Raw genomic sequence first — 15,652 nt, 5'->3', positions numbered from 1 at the left:
AAAAAAAGTATGGTGTTATGAAGCTAAAGCAGCACTTAGAAGAGAATCTGTAGTGTTCAGTGCTTCTATTTAGAAAGAAGAAAGGTGTAAAATAAAAGAATGAAGCTTCCATCTTAAGAAGCTAGGAAGAGTTGAGGAAATAGAACCCAAAGGAAACAGAAAGAAGAAAACAAGAAAATCATAAAAGTCAAAATTGGTCATTGGAAAAATTGATAAAATTAATAAACCCTTGCTGCTTCTCAAAAAACAATTTAAAAAAGAGGGAGAGACAGGGCTAGGAAAAACATGCAAATATCCAACCTGAGAGGGCTTATCCCCTAAGGCAAGATTGCTGAACAAATCCTTGCCAGCAGTTACCAGTGATGCCCTAAGAATGTAAAACAAGATAGAGGCTTGATTTTACAACCAAAGCTTTGCAGAAAATATAAACAGTGATAGTTGAGGGGCCCTACCTAGTAAAAACATCTTCTAAAAGAAAAAAAAAAAAGATAAAAGAAAAAAAACTTTAAAAGTTAACTTGCTGATGGTGTAGAGAAGGGGAAAGAAAGAAAAGAAACAGTTTTAAAATGCCTGGGGAAGAACCCCTTATTCTTATGCAAGTGGTTCCTCCACCAGGGACAAGTTTAATTGCGGTGGGTCAGAGCTGGCCTCCCTGGAAAAGAGAGGAGGAAACCCCATGGGACTGTGGCAGAAAACACGAGCCAGCAGCCTGCAGCGCCTTGGGCTGCGTGTCCCAGTCCTGGCGGGGAGGGGAGAGCCGTGGGGAGCAGCTGCTCTCTGATCTGTCCCAAAAAAGGAAGGAAAAGGCCATAAAAAGGCCAGGAATGATGGAGATTGGAGGCATGGTTCCCCTCACCCTAGAAGTCCGAGGATGAAAAGGCTTAAGAGCAACAGCGAGAGGTTTTGAGTCCCCATTTTACTCACCGCTTCTCGAGTCCCAACATTGCACACCAAAAATGTTGCAGGACTTTTCCTTAGCTCAGCTAAAGACGGGATTCTTTGTCCCATGGCCAGGAAAATTCAAGCTTGCAGACAATTTGAATGGTGAGTAAGACAGGGTTTTATTGGGTGAAAAGCAAGAAAAGGGAGAAACAGGGACTCTGCTAGGCCAGATTCCCTGCTAGAGCGCTTCCCGCGCGGCCCCGAACCCCAGGTTCCCCATGGGAAGAGGAGTAGCCAGGCTCCTCTCCGCTGCAAATGGCTCAAACTTCCCAAGGCTCCACCCCAATGAGCAGGCTGCTTGGAGGTTTTCTGGGGACTTCGTCCCACCTGGCTATCTCAGAGCTTTGGTAATTCCAACTCTTCTCTCAGTCCCTCTGGCCTATGGATAGTCATCCTAAATTCCTACTTTAATCATCTCTGTCTTGTCTCACTTCTTCTCTGATTGGCTTCTCATTTCTTTCATCATCCATTTATTAATTTATTTATTAGATTAATTCTGTTTTAAATGCTCAAGTGGTTCTGTTTCCTGGTTAGTCTCTGACTGATATAACCGCTTACCATAGTAAGGTCTATTCCTTGTTTCACCAGGCATATTCAAGAAGAAAAGAAAATTTGGAATTTTTGAAGTCTCTTATGAAACCAACAGGCTTAAAAAAAAAAAGCAGAGTTTTTAAATTTTCCATTACTCATAATTTAACATCTCTGTGTTTTTAAATCAATCTTGAAGGATTTTGTGAAATTTTAAACATTTACCATCACTGGTTCCCAGCTTCTATCTTTCCCTCATGCTCCATCCATTTCTCTAAATAAACCTGGCTTATTTCCTCCAAGTTGTAACAAAGTTGTTTGAAAGAGATTTGTATTTTCTAAGCTCTTTCTACCTTTACTAATAATTTGGCAACTGTAAAATAATGAAGTTACTTGCATCTTTGGTAGTGATAAAAATGAGTGAGTCAGAATGTGTGTGTTTTCTATTTAAAAGCTAAACTAAAGAAGTAGGACATGCCAAAAACAATTAAAACTACTAGAGATAAGATAATACAGTGCACCTCTTGACACCGATCTGTGGGTAGTCAAATGAAGCACTGGATTGGAAAACAATTTTGCAGGTACTTAATCCATCTACAGTTGGCTCTTGATAATTCTGTTCTTTATTACCCAGATATCAGGGAGTACATTTTGTTTACCTTCTATTCCCGAGGCCTAGTACAGTGCCAGTCTATTTGTAGATGTTCAGTAAATGTCTGTTGAATAAAGTAGGGCAGAGTTGGGGTCCCCTTGCAGCTTAGAGCAGAGGCCCTGAGGAGCTGATGATCAGAACTTTGAAGATGGCACTTCCCAGTTGTGCTGTCATTGATGTCTCTGAGGGGTCATAATGAGGTCAATTCTGGTATTGCCAAAAGATGCTGGAAATGAGAGCAACTGCTACCACTGAAGCAATGCTGACAGGAATGGGAACAAAGTGCAAAAGTCCTTCTCCATTGGTCCAGTTTCCCTCTAGCACAATGTTTCTCAGCTAAGGTGATTTTGCTCTCCAGGGAACATTGGCAATGTCTGGAGACTTTTTGGTTTTCACAACGTGGGTGGAAAATGTTGTTGCCATCTGATGTTAGAGGCCAGGGATCCTGCTTAGCATGCTACCAATGCACAGGATAGTTCTCGTTGACACACAATTATACAGCCCAAAATGTCAGGAGTGCTGCGGTTGAGAAACCTTGCTTTCACAGAAACTAAAAGACAGATGACAATGCAGTCCTGGAAGGGCAGTTTGCTAGCCCCGCAGTATCAGAGTGGAGCACAAAAGAACAGATTTGGAGCTCAGATACAATATATAAATGACTGGCACAAGCATCTATCAGGGAAAAGCTCATTTCTGAATACAGAGAGGGTGTGAATGTCCGTGGACCTCTTGATCCAATCTCTATCTTTTATAGACAAGAGAACAGGTTCGGGGAAATGAAATGACCATGGTAAGAAAAATCCTTTCTTAGAGAACATACAGTTAAAGATAGTGAAGGATCATTTGTATTTGTCTCAGCTGCTAGTTTTTTTTTTTTTAATTTACTATCAGTGAAACAAATGAATACCTGAAGAGCGTGAACATAATCCTCCCTCTGAATGAGTTAAATGTATAGAAATATATATTAAATGTTTTTGCCTTGGTCTTTTTAGAACTATTTGAGGTATAGAAAAGAGATCTGTTAAAAATATAGAGTCAAGTTATTTGGTGAGAGTTGCTATTCCTAAGTTTTTTAAGTGTTCATAAAACATGTAAAAGTGTCTATAAAAAAAGCACAGAACAAATTTAATGAAACTTTCTTACTGAAAAGTGTAATAAGCCAAACTTAAGGTGCTTACATTGGCAGTGACTTAAATCGCATTAACCCTTTCTTTTGAAATTACTTGATTACTTTTCACTACAAACCAAATGCAATGTATATGCATTTTAAAAGGACAGAAAATAGAAAAGGAAATATGTACCTTTAGGTGATGCATTACTTAATCTTTACATTGGAAAAAGAATTTTCATAGCCTTGGCATATTAGCAAAATACTAAGGTAGTATGAAGCAATAGAACATTAGTAGGAAATCAAACATAAAATAGGAATTATTCTAAAGCCTGTTAATTATAGGAAAACCACTATGCATTTTATATTGATATTAAATAATGATATGGGGTTAAATGATGCCAGGAAAAACTATTCTTTTTCAAAAAACAATCTAAATTATCTCAATTATAGTTTTTTTTATAGTTTCATTGGTTATATGTAAAATAATTTAAAGCTGAGAAAATTAGTTTTTATATAAAAACATATACCTCCTTTTTTTTATTATACTTTAAGTTTTAGGGTACATGTGCACAACGTGCAGGTTAGTTACATATGTATACATGTGCCATGTTGGTGTGCTGCACCCATTAACTCGTCATTTAACATTAGGTTTATCTCCTAATGCTATCCCTCTCCCCTCCCCCCACCCCACAACAGGCCCCAGTGTGTGATGTTCCCCTCCCTGTGTCCATGTGTTCTCATTGTTCAATTCTCACATATGAGTGAGAACATGCGGCGTTTGGTTTCTTGTCCTTGCGATAGTTTGCTGAGAATGATGGTTTCCAGCTTCATCCATGTCCCTTCAAAGGACATGAACTCATCATTTTTATGGCTGCATAGTATTCCATGGTGTCTATGTGCCACATTTTCTTAATCCAGTCTATCATTGTTGGACATTTGGGTTGGTTCCAAGTCTTTGCTATTGTGAATGGTGCCGCAATAAACATAGGTGTGCATGTGTCTTTATAGCAGCATGATTTATAATCTTTTGGGTATATACTCAGTAATGGGATGGCTGGGTCAAATGGTATTTCTAGTTCAAGATCCCTGAGGAATCGCCACACTGACTTCCACAATGGTTGAACTAGTTTACAGTCCCATCAACAGTGTAAAAGTTTTCCTATTTCTCCACATCCTCTCCAGCACCTGTTTTTTCCTACCAAGTAAAGCTTCCAGAAGAAATAACAAATAATTGCTATTTCTATTTCTTGTTTTCCATTTTCCTCTTCATACACTGTTCCTTGGTTTCTCTCTCCAACCCACTGAAGGGCCTCTCACTAAGATGACAGATTTTATCCCAGTTCCCAGACCAATAGTTATTTTTCAGTCCTCTACCCACCATATTTGACACTGTTGAAAATTCACTCCTTGAAGCTGTTTTCTCTCTTCTGATTACCTCCTAGTTCTTTCTCTACCTCTCTATTTCTTGGTCTCTTTTGTTGGAATCTTTTCCTCCCTCCCCCTTTTCTAAAATAGAAATAATTTACATACCATAAAATTCATGGTTTTCAAAGTGTATAGTTAGTGGATTTTAGTATGTTCACAAGGTTGTGAAACCATCATCACTATCTAATCCAGAACATTGTCATCACCCTAAAAAGAACCCTATAACCATTAGCAGTCCTATACCTCTTCCCTCCTCCCTCCATCCCCTACTGCTCCACTTTCTGTCTCTATAAACTTGCCTATTAAGGACGTTTCATTTAAATAAATTAATACACTATGTGGCCTTTTATGCCTGGGTTCTTTCACTCCCCAGTTTTCAGGGTCTGTCTATGTTGTAACATGTGTCAATACTTTATTTTGTTTTATGGAGAAATAGATCTTCAAAGACCATTGAAGCACTACCAAGCAATTCAATATATATGTAACCGGGGTCCCAGAAGAAGAGAGAAAGAAAGGAGCTTAAATATATTTGAGGAAATCATAGGTGAAACCTTTCCAAATTTGGTAGAAAACATCAGCTTACAGATCCAAGAAGTTCCATGAAACTCTAGCAGAATAAATACAAAGAAAATATTTAGGTATATTAGAGTCAAACTGATGAAAGCCAAAGATTAAAAGAGTCTTGGAAGTAACCACAAAAAGGTGACATTTTACAGACAAGGAAACAATAATATCATTAATGCCTGGGAATCAATAATTTTTTGTCTTGTGAAACTAACCTTCAATAATCAATATAAAATACAGAAATTTTCAAGTAAACAACTCAGTTAGGAACCAGCAGATCTGTACTACAAGAAATACTGAAGAAAGTTTATCAGGTAGAAAGAAAATAACTCCATATAATGATTCAAATATACAAGAAGAAATGAAAAATACTGGAAATGATAAGCTGGTGGTTAAATGTAATTATATATATATTTAGTTTTTCTTCTTAATTTTTTCAAGGACGTATAACATTAAAAATTTTTTTTTTGCTTTTTTTCTTTTTGTTTTGACATAATTTAAAACAAACATTATAAAGCAAACATAACACTGTACTGTTGGTTTTGTAACACACATGCACACAAATCTGTATCTATATCCACTGATACATATGTATAACAACAGTACTAAAGATGGGGGTACATGAAATTATATTGTTGTAAGTTTCCTGTGTTTCACCTGAAATAATTAAATATTAACTCTAAGTAGATTGGGATAAGTTAAAGATGCACATAATCCGTAGAGCAACTAAAAATGAATGCAAAAGATATAGCTAGTTGTGATGGTTAATATTGAGTGTCAACTTCATTGGGTTGAAGGATGCAAAGTATTGTTCCTGGCTGTGTCTTTGAGGCTGTTATCAAAGGAGATAATATTTGAGTCAGTGAGTGGACTGGGAAATGCAGACCCACCTTCAACCTAGGTGGGCACAATCTAATCAGCTGCCAACGTGGCCAGAATAAAAGCAGGCAGAAGAACATGGAAAGATTAGACTGGCTAAGTCTTCTGGCCTTCATCTTTCTCTCATGCTGGATGCTTCCCGCCCTCGAACATCAGACTCGAGGTTCTTCAGCTTTTGAACTCTTGGACTTACACCAGTGATTTGCCATGGGCTCTCAGGCCTTTGGCCACAGACTGAAGGCTGCACTACTGGCTTCCCTACTTTTGAGGTTTTGAGACTGACTGGCATCCTGGCTCCTCAGCTTGCAGTTGGCCTATTGTGGGACTTCACCTTGTGATCATGTGAGTCAATTCTCCTAATAAACTCCCCTTAATATATACATCTATTAGTTCCATCCCTCTAGAGAACCTTGACTAATACACCAGTAAACTAATAGAAAAATTAAAATGGAATACATCTATAAAATTTTTATAGGGAAAATAGATCAATGGCTGCCTATGGTGAAAGTGGAGGGAAAGAATGGTTGCAAGGAGGCATGAGAAAACGTTTGCAGTTGTTAGAGACATTCTGCATCTTGATTCTGCTGCTGGTTTCACAGGCACATATATTTATCAGAATTCATAGTTTTTTTAGTAATGAACATTTTATTTTTGAAGAAATTTGGATTTACAGAAAGTTGCATCATACAGAGAGCTCCTGTAAACAATTCACCCAGTTTACACTGGTGTTAACATCTTACATAATGATTTGGCATATTTTCTAAAAGTAAGACGGTAACATTGGTATATTATTAAAACCACGGACTTTTTTGGGTTTCATCAGTTTTCCATGGTATTTAGTTTTCTATTGCTGCTGCAACAAATTATGTCAAATTTCGGGGCTTAATATGATATAAATGTATTATCTTGTAATTCTGTAGGTCAAAAATCTGGCAGGCTTAGCTGGTTTCCCTGTCACAGGGCTAAAATCCAGATAGCAACACGGTGAGCACACCATGTTTCTGGAGGTTCTGGGGATATATCCACTTTGAAGCTCATTCAAGTTGCTGTCAGAATTCAGTTGTAAATAATGTAGTTATAGGACTGAGGTCCCTTTTTTCCTGCTGGCTGTTTACCGGGCACTGGGCATCGTTCTCAGTTTCTAGAGGCCATCCTGCATTCCTTGGTGAAAGCTGCCTTTCTCCATAGTCAAAGATAGCACTGGCTGTTTGAATCCTTCTCACAATTCAAATCTCTCTGATTTTCCCTTCTTTCTCACCTCCTCTGCCTCTTCTTCAAAGAATTTTATACTTTAAATTTTAGTTTAGTTTTTACAAATTAGACCCTGATAAGGTTAATTTAAAATACATCTCAGTAAAGACTATAAAATTTGTAAACCAAATATGATATTTGAAGAACAAAGTATTAAAATGACCAATTAAAAAAATCAACAACTTGAACCATATTTTATGGAGTTAAAATCTTTAATTATCTTATTTATGGTTAGTCTTTTTTCTTTTTAAAATTTTTTATGTTAAAAATGCTTATTTATAAGGGAATTTTTTGGGTGATAGAAATATTTTGTATCATGACTGTGATGGTGAACTTAAAAGTTTATGCATTTGTCAAACCCTATAAAAACTACACCACAAAAAGTGAATTTTATTATATGTATACTTAAAATCAACAAAAAATCTCTATGTAGGAGGAACTTAAAAGGAAACACAGACTAAAAAATAAACCTATTTTTTTCATTATAAAAGATTTTTTGGGGTAAAAAAGAGCAAAGAAACCTAGCTGAGTTATAAATGAATGTAACCATCCTGAGAGAGATGGAATAGTAAAGAACTAACCTACTTTGCAAAACAGATTTTCAGCAGGATTAAAACAGAAAAAATTGTCCACAAATGCATGGGTTGGCAATTCACAAACTATGTATATAGTAAGGTTTAATTAATAAGTAAATATAGCTTAGATTCAAGAGCCAGATTTGTCACTGTCAGAGAAAGAAGTTACAAATAAGGAAAGGGAGAAGGATAGAATTCTTTGAAATCTGAGGTATTGGTACAAACTCATTGTTTTTAAAATGTATGTATTGAGATAGATACCCAAAGAAAGAAATTTGCTATGTATGCGCCTGTGTGTGTGTGTGTGTGTGTATGTGTGTGTGTGTGTGTGTATTCTCTGTTCACTAAGTGAGCCTAGAACAAATGACAGCCCAGTAAGAATGAGTACACCCAGATAATGGTTCTATTGGAGCATGATATACCATTCTCCAATAAGAACCAGGGCTTCTTAAAGAAGTGCTTGATTCCAGGTCTGGGACATGAAAAATACAAGATAAGCCTGGAGCATCTTACAGTACCTGAAAGTTTTTAAAAATTCAAAAAGGATCAGGATGGGTCATATTGGGAAAGCTCTGGAGCCAGTCAGAAAGAGCTCCCAATGGCCAAGGCTGAAACAGTTTGAGCAACAACAACAACAACAAAATAGTTATTAGATTATAATGTAAAGAATAAAAGAAAAATACATGAGTATATACTGATATAAATACCTTGTATGAACAAATTAAAAAGGAAGAAGGCACAGCTCTTCCTTACAGAAGAATTCCAATTAATAAATGTAGGCAGAATGAGGAAAATAGAAAGTCACCATGAAAATACCACAATAATAATTGTTGCAGGCAAGAACCATCAATCAATGCCAAAATTTGTGATCTAATGTTTGAGGAGAAATAGAATATTTGCACAGTCTCAAAATATCACCCCCCAAGATATTAATTACAGAGGAAAAAATAAAGGTACATCTATTCTGTGGTAGTCTTACCAAAAATGTACAAACTCAATCTAATCAGGAGAAAACATGAGAAAACCCCAATTTAAGAGATATTGTACACAATAACTGATTAGTACTTTTCAAAAGTATCAAGTTCATAATAAGCAAGGAAAGACTGAGGAACTGGCATAGATTTTATGGTTATAGAGTTCTGAGACAGCCAGGTGGGAGGCGGGTCCCTGGAGAAACTTCAAATAGCCTGCCCACTGCAGTGGAGCCTCAGGAAGTTCGAGCCCTTTGCAGTGGGAAGGAGCCTGGCCTCTCTTCTTCCTGTGTGGAACCTCAGATTCCAAAGGCCTGGCGGGAAGTGCTCTAGCAGGGACTCTGGCCTAGCGAGAGTCTCTGTTTCCTCCTTTTCTTCCTTTTCACCCAATAAAACCCTGCTTTACTCACCCTTCGAACCACCTGCAAGCCTAAATTTTCATGGCCATGGGACGGACAAGGACCTTATCTTTAGCTGAACTAAGGAAAAGTCCTGCAACAGTTCTTTATATTGAAGTCTTTTACCCACTTAGAATTTATTGAAGCATTGACAAAACCACAATCATAGCAGGAGATTTTAACCTACCTCTTTCAATAATTGATAAAGCCAATAAAATTTTTGTAAGAGTTGCTTGCTGGAGCATTTTTATAATCACTGCTTTAAAGTTTTTTTTTCAGATAATTCCAACATCTGTGGCTTAGAATTGGCATCGGCATCTATTGACTGTATTTTTCCCAAGTGAGGTAGTAGAGAGTAGAACTATTTTGCAGCTGGAACCAACATGTCTTGATGATTATGTTTGCATTTCATCAGAGGTGTGGATGAAATGAAGGTAGAGATGATGAGGAGTGAGGTCTTAGGAAGCATCAACAAATTTCTATGGCCTCTGGCCTGGGTATCTGGGTGAATTTTGGTAGCATCTAGTGAAATTGGAGCAAAAGGGAAGGAGAGAATATGAAGGATGTGTTTGTTTGTATGCCCATAGGACAACCACACTGATGTATCCAGCAGGCATTTGGATATTCAAGTCTGAACTCACAGAAGGGGCAGATCTAGAAATACAACTTGTAAATTAGTATTAGTATTGCATAAGTGGTGTTTAAAGCAATAAAATATGGTTTAGAACAGTTGGTTATAGAAAATGGAATGAGAGCAAAAGTATTTTAAAGAGCAGACAGAAATAGGAGACTCAGAAGGAATAATTAAAGAGAATATACAACAGAAGTCTAGGAAGTAAAGAGTGTCAAAGAACAAGATTTCAACAAATTGAGTTGAAAGATCTAATTAGCTTTTATTAGCCATTCTGGCCCTTTTTGAAGTTAAGTTTGATTACATAGCATCTAGTATGAATGACTCCATTCTGGTTTGGTCTGATCTGTTGGGGTCTAGTACAAGAGCTCAGTCCAAAACAATGACCTCTCATAAGTTCTATATTAAAAGCATTTCAAGAAACATAAATCCACATGATCAGAAGCAGGAGAATAATGTAGTAAGATAAAGACTAAAAAGGGTATTGGTCGCTGGTCACATTTGCCAGTTTCTGTGTCTTGGTAAAGGTGGAAAAAGATCAATGCAGGAATGAGGGAATAGCAAGGAAGTGGATTAAAAGATGGGGACCACTGTTTTTTAAATTATGGCTTAAGAAAGGAAGGAATGAGTGAGGCACATGGTGAAGAAACATGTGGAAGAAAACCGTATGATTCCAAGACTTTGTAAAAATCCCTTTTTTAATCACTTGTATTTGGTTCATCTCATATGACTGAAACTTCATCTTGGAAAAAGAATTAACTGAGACTATTTTAGCAACTAAAGTCCAAGTGGTACAAAGCCACAAATAGATCTTGAAGAAGTCCAAATTCCCAGAGCTGCTGCTTGAACGTACAATTGCTCCATTAATTTCGACCTGCTGTTGCCATGCAAAAGGAGCCAGAGGTAGCTAAGGCTTTGTAAATTAAAAGTTACCTCTTGAATGTCTTCTACACACTGCGGGATATGGGTACAAACTGCTTCCTTGTCTGAGCTCATTACTGAAACTAGGCTGCTTCCCTCACTTTCTGCCATGTCTCTGGTGGCCGTCATAATCTTAGAACACTCAATAGACCTTCTGCTAAGCAGAGGCTTCCTTTCTCCCACCACCTGTTAAATAATAGCAATTATATATTATGCTTGCTTTCCTCATTTCTTTCTACTTCTGTTCTCAGTGTTGTTTATAATGTGGGTTTGATTAGTTTCCTTGACCTTACTAGAGGGAAGCTGATTGGCTAAGGATACTTTGATCATCAAAAAATAGAATTACTGCAGCACAACTCCAGATCTGTAAGAAACTGTTTTCCAACTCAGAGACTTTTGTGCAATAATTTTTCTGGTTTTAGAAAAGCTATAGTATCATCAGACAATTTTTTTTTTTTGCTTTGCAGAGTGATAAATTCAACCTATGAAAGTAAAAAAGAAAATTTATATTTTCTGTGTCCCATTCTTTTGTTGTTTCAGCAAAAAGTTTACTTTCCTCTTGACTCAGCCAGGTAGTAGGTGAGAGTGTTCCCAATACTGATTATGGCCCCAAAGCCAACAATTCTCTTTGAGGGAACCAAGAGTGAAACACGCTGAACCTGGATTCTGAGTTTTATCTGATAACACCATTAGAGATGTCATAATTAGTTAGGAAGGTAAGTATGATGGCTCCAGTATTGTCTCCCTCTGTACCCCCCAATAGCTAAAAGGGAACTAGGGTAACAATTCAAAAGTTAAAAAACAAAAGGGATGAGAAAATAAAACGATTTAGGTTATTTAATCTGTACAACAGGAATATAATGGGAAAAAATGACTTTGAGAATTATAACCAACTCTCCCCAAAGTAAAGTAAAAATCATATTAACTGTAAGTTGACTAGTGGAAACCCCAAAGAAAGGCTGTGTAATCACTGAACTTTCATGTGTTTAACATTATGTTGGATAAATTCTTGTCTCATGAAAAATTATGCTTTTTGGAGAAGCAAATGAGCTAGACCACTAAAGGATCCTACTTACTTCCAGTCTTTGATGTAGATTTTATGTGAACTTTGAATTCATAGATGTAGCACTTTAAATATTGACTTCATTTCCAATAAACCATAAAGAATTTGGGTGAATAAATTTGGGAGAAAAAAATGAAGACTTGGGGTAAACTATCTTGGACAATTTTGAAGAGGTCTGTTGCAAGATGATACATTTTAAAAATTGTTCAGACTCAATTTTTTCGGTTACTCTTAATGAATGGGTGCTGATTTTGTGGGATAGGCAATATATTCATGTCTTCACAAAGTGGTTCAAAAAAAATTTCTGGAAAAAGATATAAACTTTGGCAATACTGAGTCCACATTCCTGCCTGGCAGCATTCAGCTGGAGCAGGCTGAGGAGCAGGCTCTCGTGGCTGCTTCATGTATGTATGTGATCTTGGCAGATACTTGAGTTTGAGCTTCTGGTTCACTTCCTTCCCTTCTATGCCTACCCCGTCTTTATTCTCAGCAGTTTCAATAACCTCTGAGTGACGCATCCAGCATCTTGGCCCACTTTTCTTGACCTTCTCCCAAAATGATTTTTGCTTCCATTTTAGCTTCACAATTCTGTGTTGCCCCTTAATACCTTATCCCCAGTAAATGCACCACCTTCAAAGTCTTCAAGTAGTACTCTCATCGTCCAGCTGCCTCACTCTATTACTCCTACTGAAACTCTTAATTTACACCATCTAGACTTTTAATTTTTTAATCCTATCATTTTTCTCCCGTCTAACTCTCTTACCATCACTGCTGCCTACCCAGCTTAAATTTTATGACCAATAGTTAGAATTTCTCATTTGAAAGTCATCTGCCCAAAATCCAGCCAACCACTGCTTGAACTCAGCTATCGACCTTCTCTGTGCTTGTACTGGAATAGCTGAATGCTGTTTGAGAAATTATACAACTGGACCAAATTAGCCATACTTTAAATTCATTTAAAACTCAAATATATTTTCAATATAGCATCAAAACTTCATATTTCCCTAATTTTTTTTTCCAATTTTTTTACTCTCCCTTCAAGCCTTCCCTAGTTTCTTCCTCACCCATTTGCCTCACCTCAGACTCTCTAGAATGAGACTCCAGGATAGCAGGGATTGTGTATGGCTCAGCAATATTGTTTAGGCTAGGGGCACCTAGTATGATGCCTGACACATAGTAAGAACTTAATAAATATTTGCTGAATGATTATTTCAAGGTGAATATTTTTCCACTAGCAAGTCTACCAGCCTGCCTATACACGTCCCCATTTTGCCCTGCCTTCTTTATTGTTCAATGGTTGTATCCCTATTCACATTTATTTATGTGTTCACAATTCAGGCTTTCCACATTATTTTGAAATAAGATGTTGAATTCGAAAATCCATCCATGTTATCACAACATAGTTCAACATTACATTTGTCCAATAATACTAATAGACAAGCCTTATATAAAATATTTCATTATGATGATTATAATCATGACTAGCAATTATTGAGCACCACATTATTGCTAAGTACTGTTCCAAGGGCTGTCATGTATTAACACATGAGTTAGGCACTATTTTTTTATCTCCATTTAACTGAAGTGCAGAGAGGCCAAGTAACTTGCCACATTCTCGCATTCTAAAAACAAGAGCGTCACTCTCATCCATTATGCTCCACTGCCTCCTTTAAAAAATATAATAAAAAGGGGAAACATTAGTCCAAACTCTCATTGTAAAGAATATTGCTGAGATGGAAAATGAATGCAAGGGTAAAGGAAGGAAGAGAAACTTTATGGTATCTGCTTCGTTCATTACAATATCTCCAAGAACTAGTTTCTAGTAACTAGAAAAATGTGTCACACATAGTAAATATTCAAGAAGTACTGTTGAACTTCTGCCTTCCATCAATTAGCACACTTAAAAAGTCAAATGTTAATCTCCTTTAATTTAGGGTAAAAATAAGTCTCAATCATTTTTCCATTTTATATCCATCAAAAATCCACACAAGACCATTTTTTAGATAACTCAGAGAAATCAAAGCGTTCCTCTTTAAGCATTTTTAAAACTTTTTAGATGCTTATTCTGAAAGTTCTAAGACAAAATCAACTTTAATTTGTCACTAATTGACTCTATTGGATTAGAAAACTCATTTATTTCCTCATTCAACTGTATTTCTTGAACAAAGCGATAGCTTATAATTTCCTGAGGATGGGCATGGGGAATGAGAAGGTAGATAAACATATAAATAAATAATTATTTTCAGGTGATGGACGGTAAGTATTATGAAAAAATAAAGCAAATTAAGGGGTCGAGAGTGATGGAGGGGAGCAAGGGGAGAGCCAATTTTGATAAGATGATGAGGGAATTAATTTCTAAAGGGGATGACATTTAAGTAAAGACCTGAATGGCATGAATGAGTATAAAGGTCTTGAAATACAAATGAGTCTAGCATTTTGAGGAGTAGGAAGGTCAGTGTGGCTGGATAGTGTTAAGTGATTAGGTCAGAGAGGTAGGTAGGAGACAAGACATGGAATACTTTTGTGTGCCGTGTTAAGGACCTAGACTTTATTATGGGTGTCATGGCAAGATATTGGAAGGATTTAAGGAGGGGAATGATATAATCTGATTTACATTTTAAGAGATCAATTTGGCCATGTTTGGAAATTGCTGATAGAGTTTCTATCTGTTTCCCCTCTAAATCTCATGTTGAATTGTAATCCCCAATGTGGGAGGTGGGGCCTGGTGGGAGGTGATTGGATCGAGGGGGTGGACTTCTTATGAATGGTTTAGCACCATCCCCTTGGTACTGTCCTTGGGAAAGTGAGTGAGTTCTCACGAGATCTGTTCCTCTAAAAGTGTATGTCCACTTCCCTCCCAACTATCTCTCTTTTGCTCCTGCTCTGGCCATGTAGCCTGCCAGCTCCTCCTTTGCCTTCCACCATGATTGGAAACTTCCTGAGGCCTCACCAGAAGCTGAGAAGATGTTGGTGCCGTGATTCCTTTACAGCCCGCAGAGCCATGAGCCAATTAAACCTCTTTTCTTTATAAATTACTCAGTCTCTGGTATTTCTTTAGAGCAGTGCAAGAACAGCCTAACACAATTGGAGAAGCAAGAGGGGAAGCCAAGTGATCAATTAGGAGGTGATTGAAATATTCCAAGTTAGAGTGGATAGTGGCTTATCCTAAGTGGGAGGAGCAATGGAGGTGGTAAGAAATGGTTAGATGGTTAGAATTCAGAAATATTTGAAGGGAGGGTTAACATGACTTGCTGATGCATTAGGGGTGGGGTATGAAATGAAAAGAGGAATTAAGGCCAATGCCTAGGTTTTGACCTGAGTAATAGTGAACAGTGGCATTATTAATTGAAATGAGAAAAAACTCATGGCAAGAACCCAGTTCAAGAATTCTCTTGGGCTTTGTTACCTTCATAGGATGTCACAAGACTACATCTAAATTTGGAATAAAAAAGGGAAGAAATATTTGTCTTCATTAGTATATAGAGTATGAAGCCACTCTCTATTAGTACTTCAAGTAACTCTAAGGAAAGTTACCTCACTCAGAAAGACTTATGCTTACTCATCAAAAGGCAGCCCAAGTCTACCTATTTAGTTCCACCAATAAATCCCTTCTAGGTTTTTAAGGACTAGGGACTGTTATAGCAAATCCTATTTAACAATATCTGAGCCCTTTTCCCATTCACTGTTACCTCCCTATTATTCCTGGTTAATATGAATTATCTAGGTTTGGGTATCCCACAG

The sequence above is a fragment of the Homo sapiens genome, chromosome 8, assembly GCF_000001405.40.
Source record: "Homo sapiens chromosome 8, GRCh38.p14 Primary Assembly".
Taxonomy (NCBI): Eukaryota; Metazoa; Chordata; class Mammalia; order Primates; family Hominidae; genus Homo; species Homo sapiens.
The sequence above is the reverse complement of the archived record's forward strand: the minus strand, read 5'-3'. Positions refer to the sequence as shown.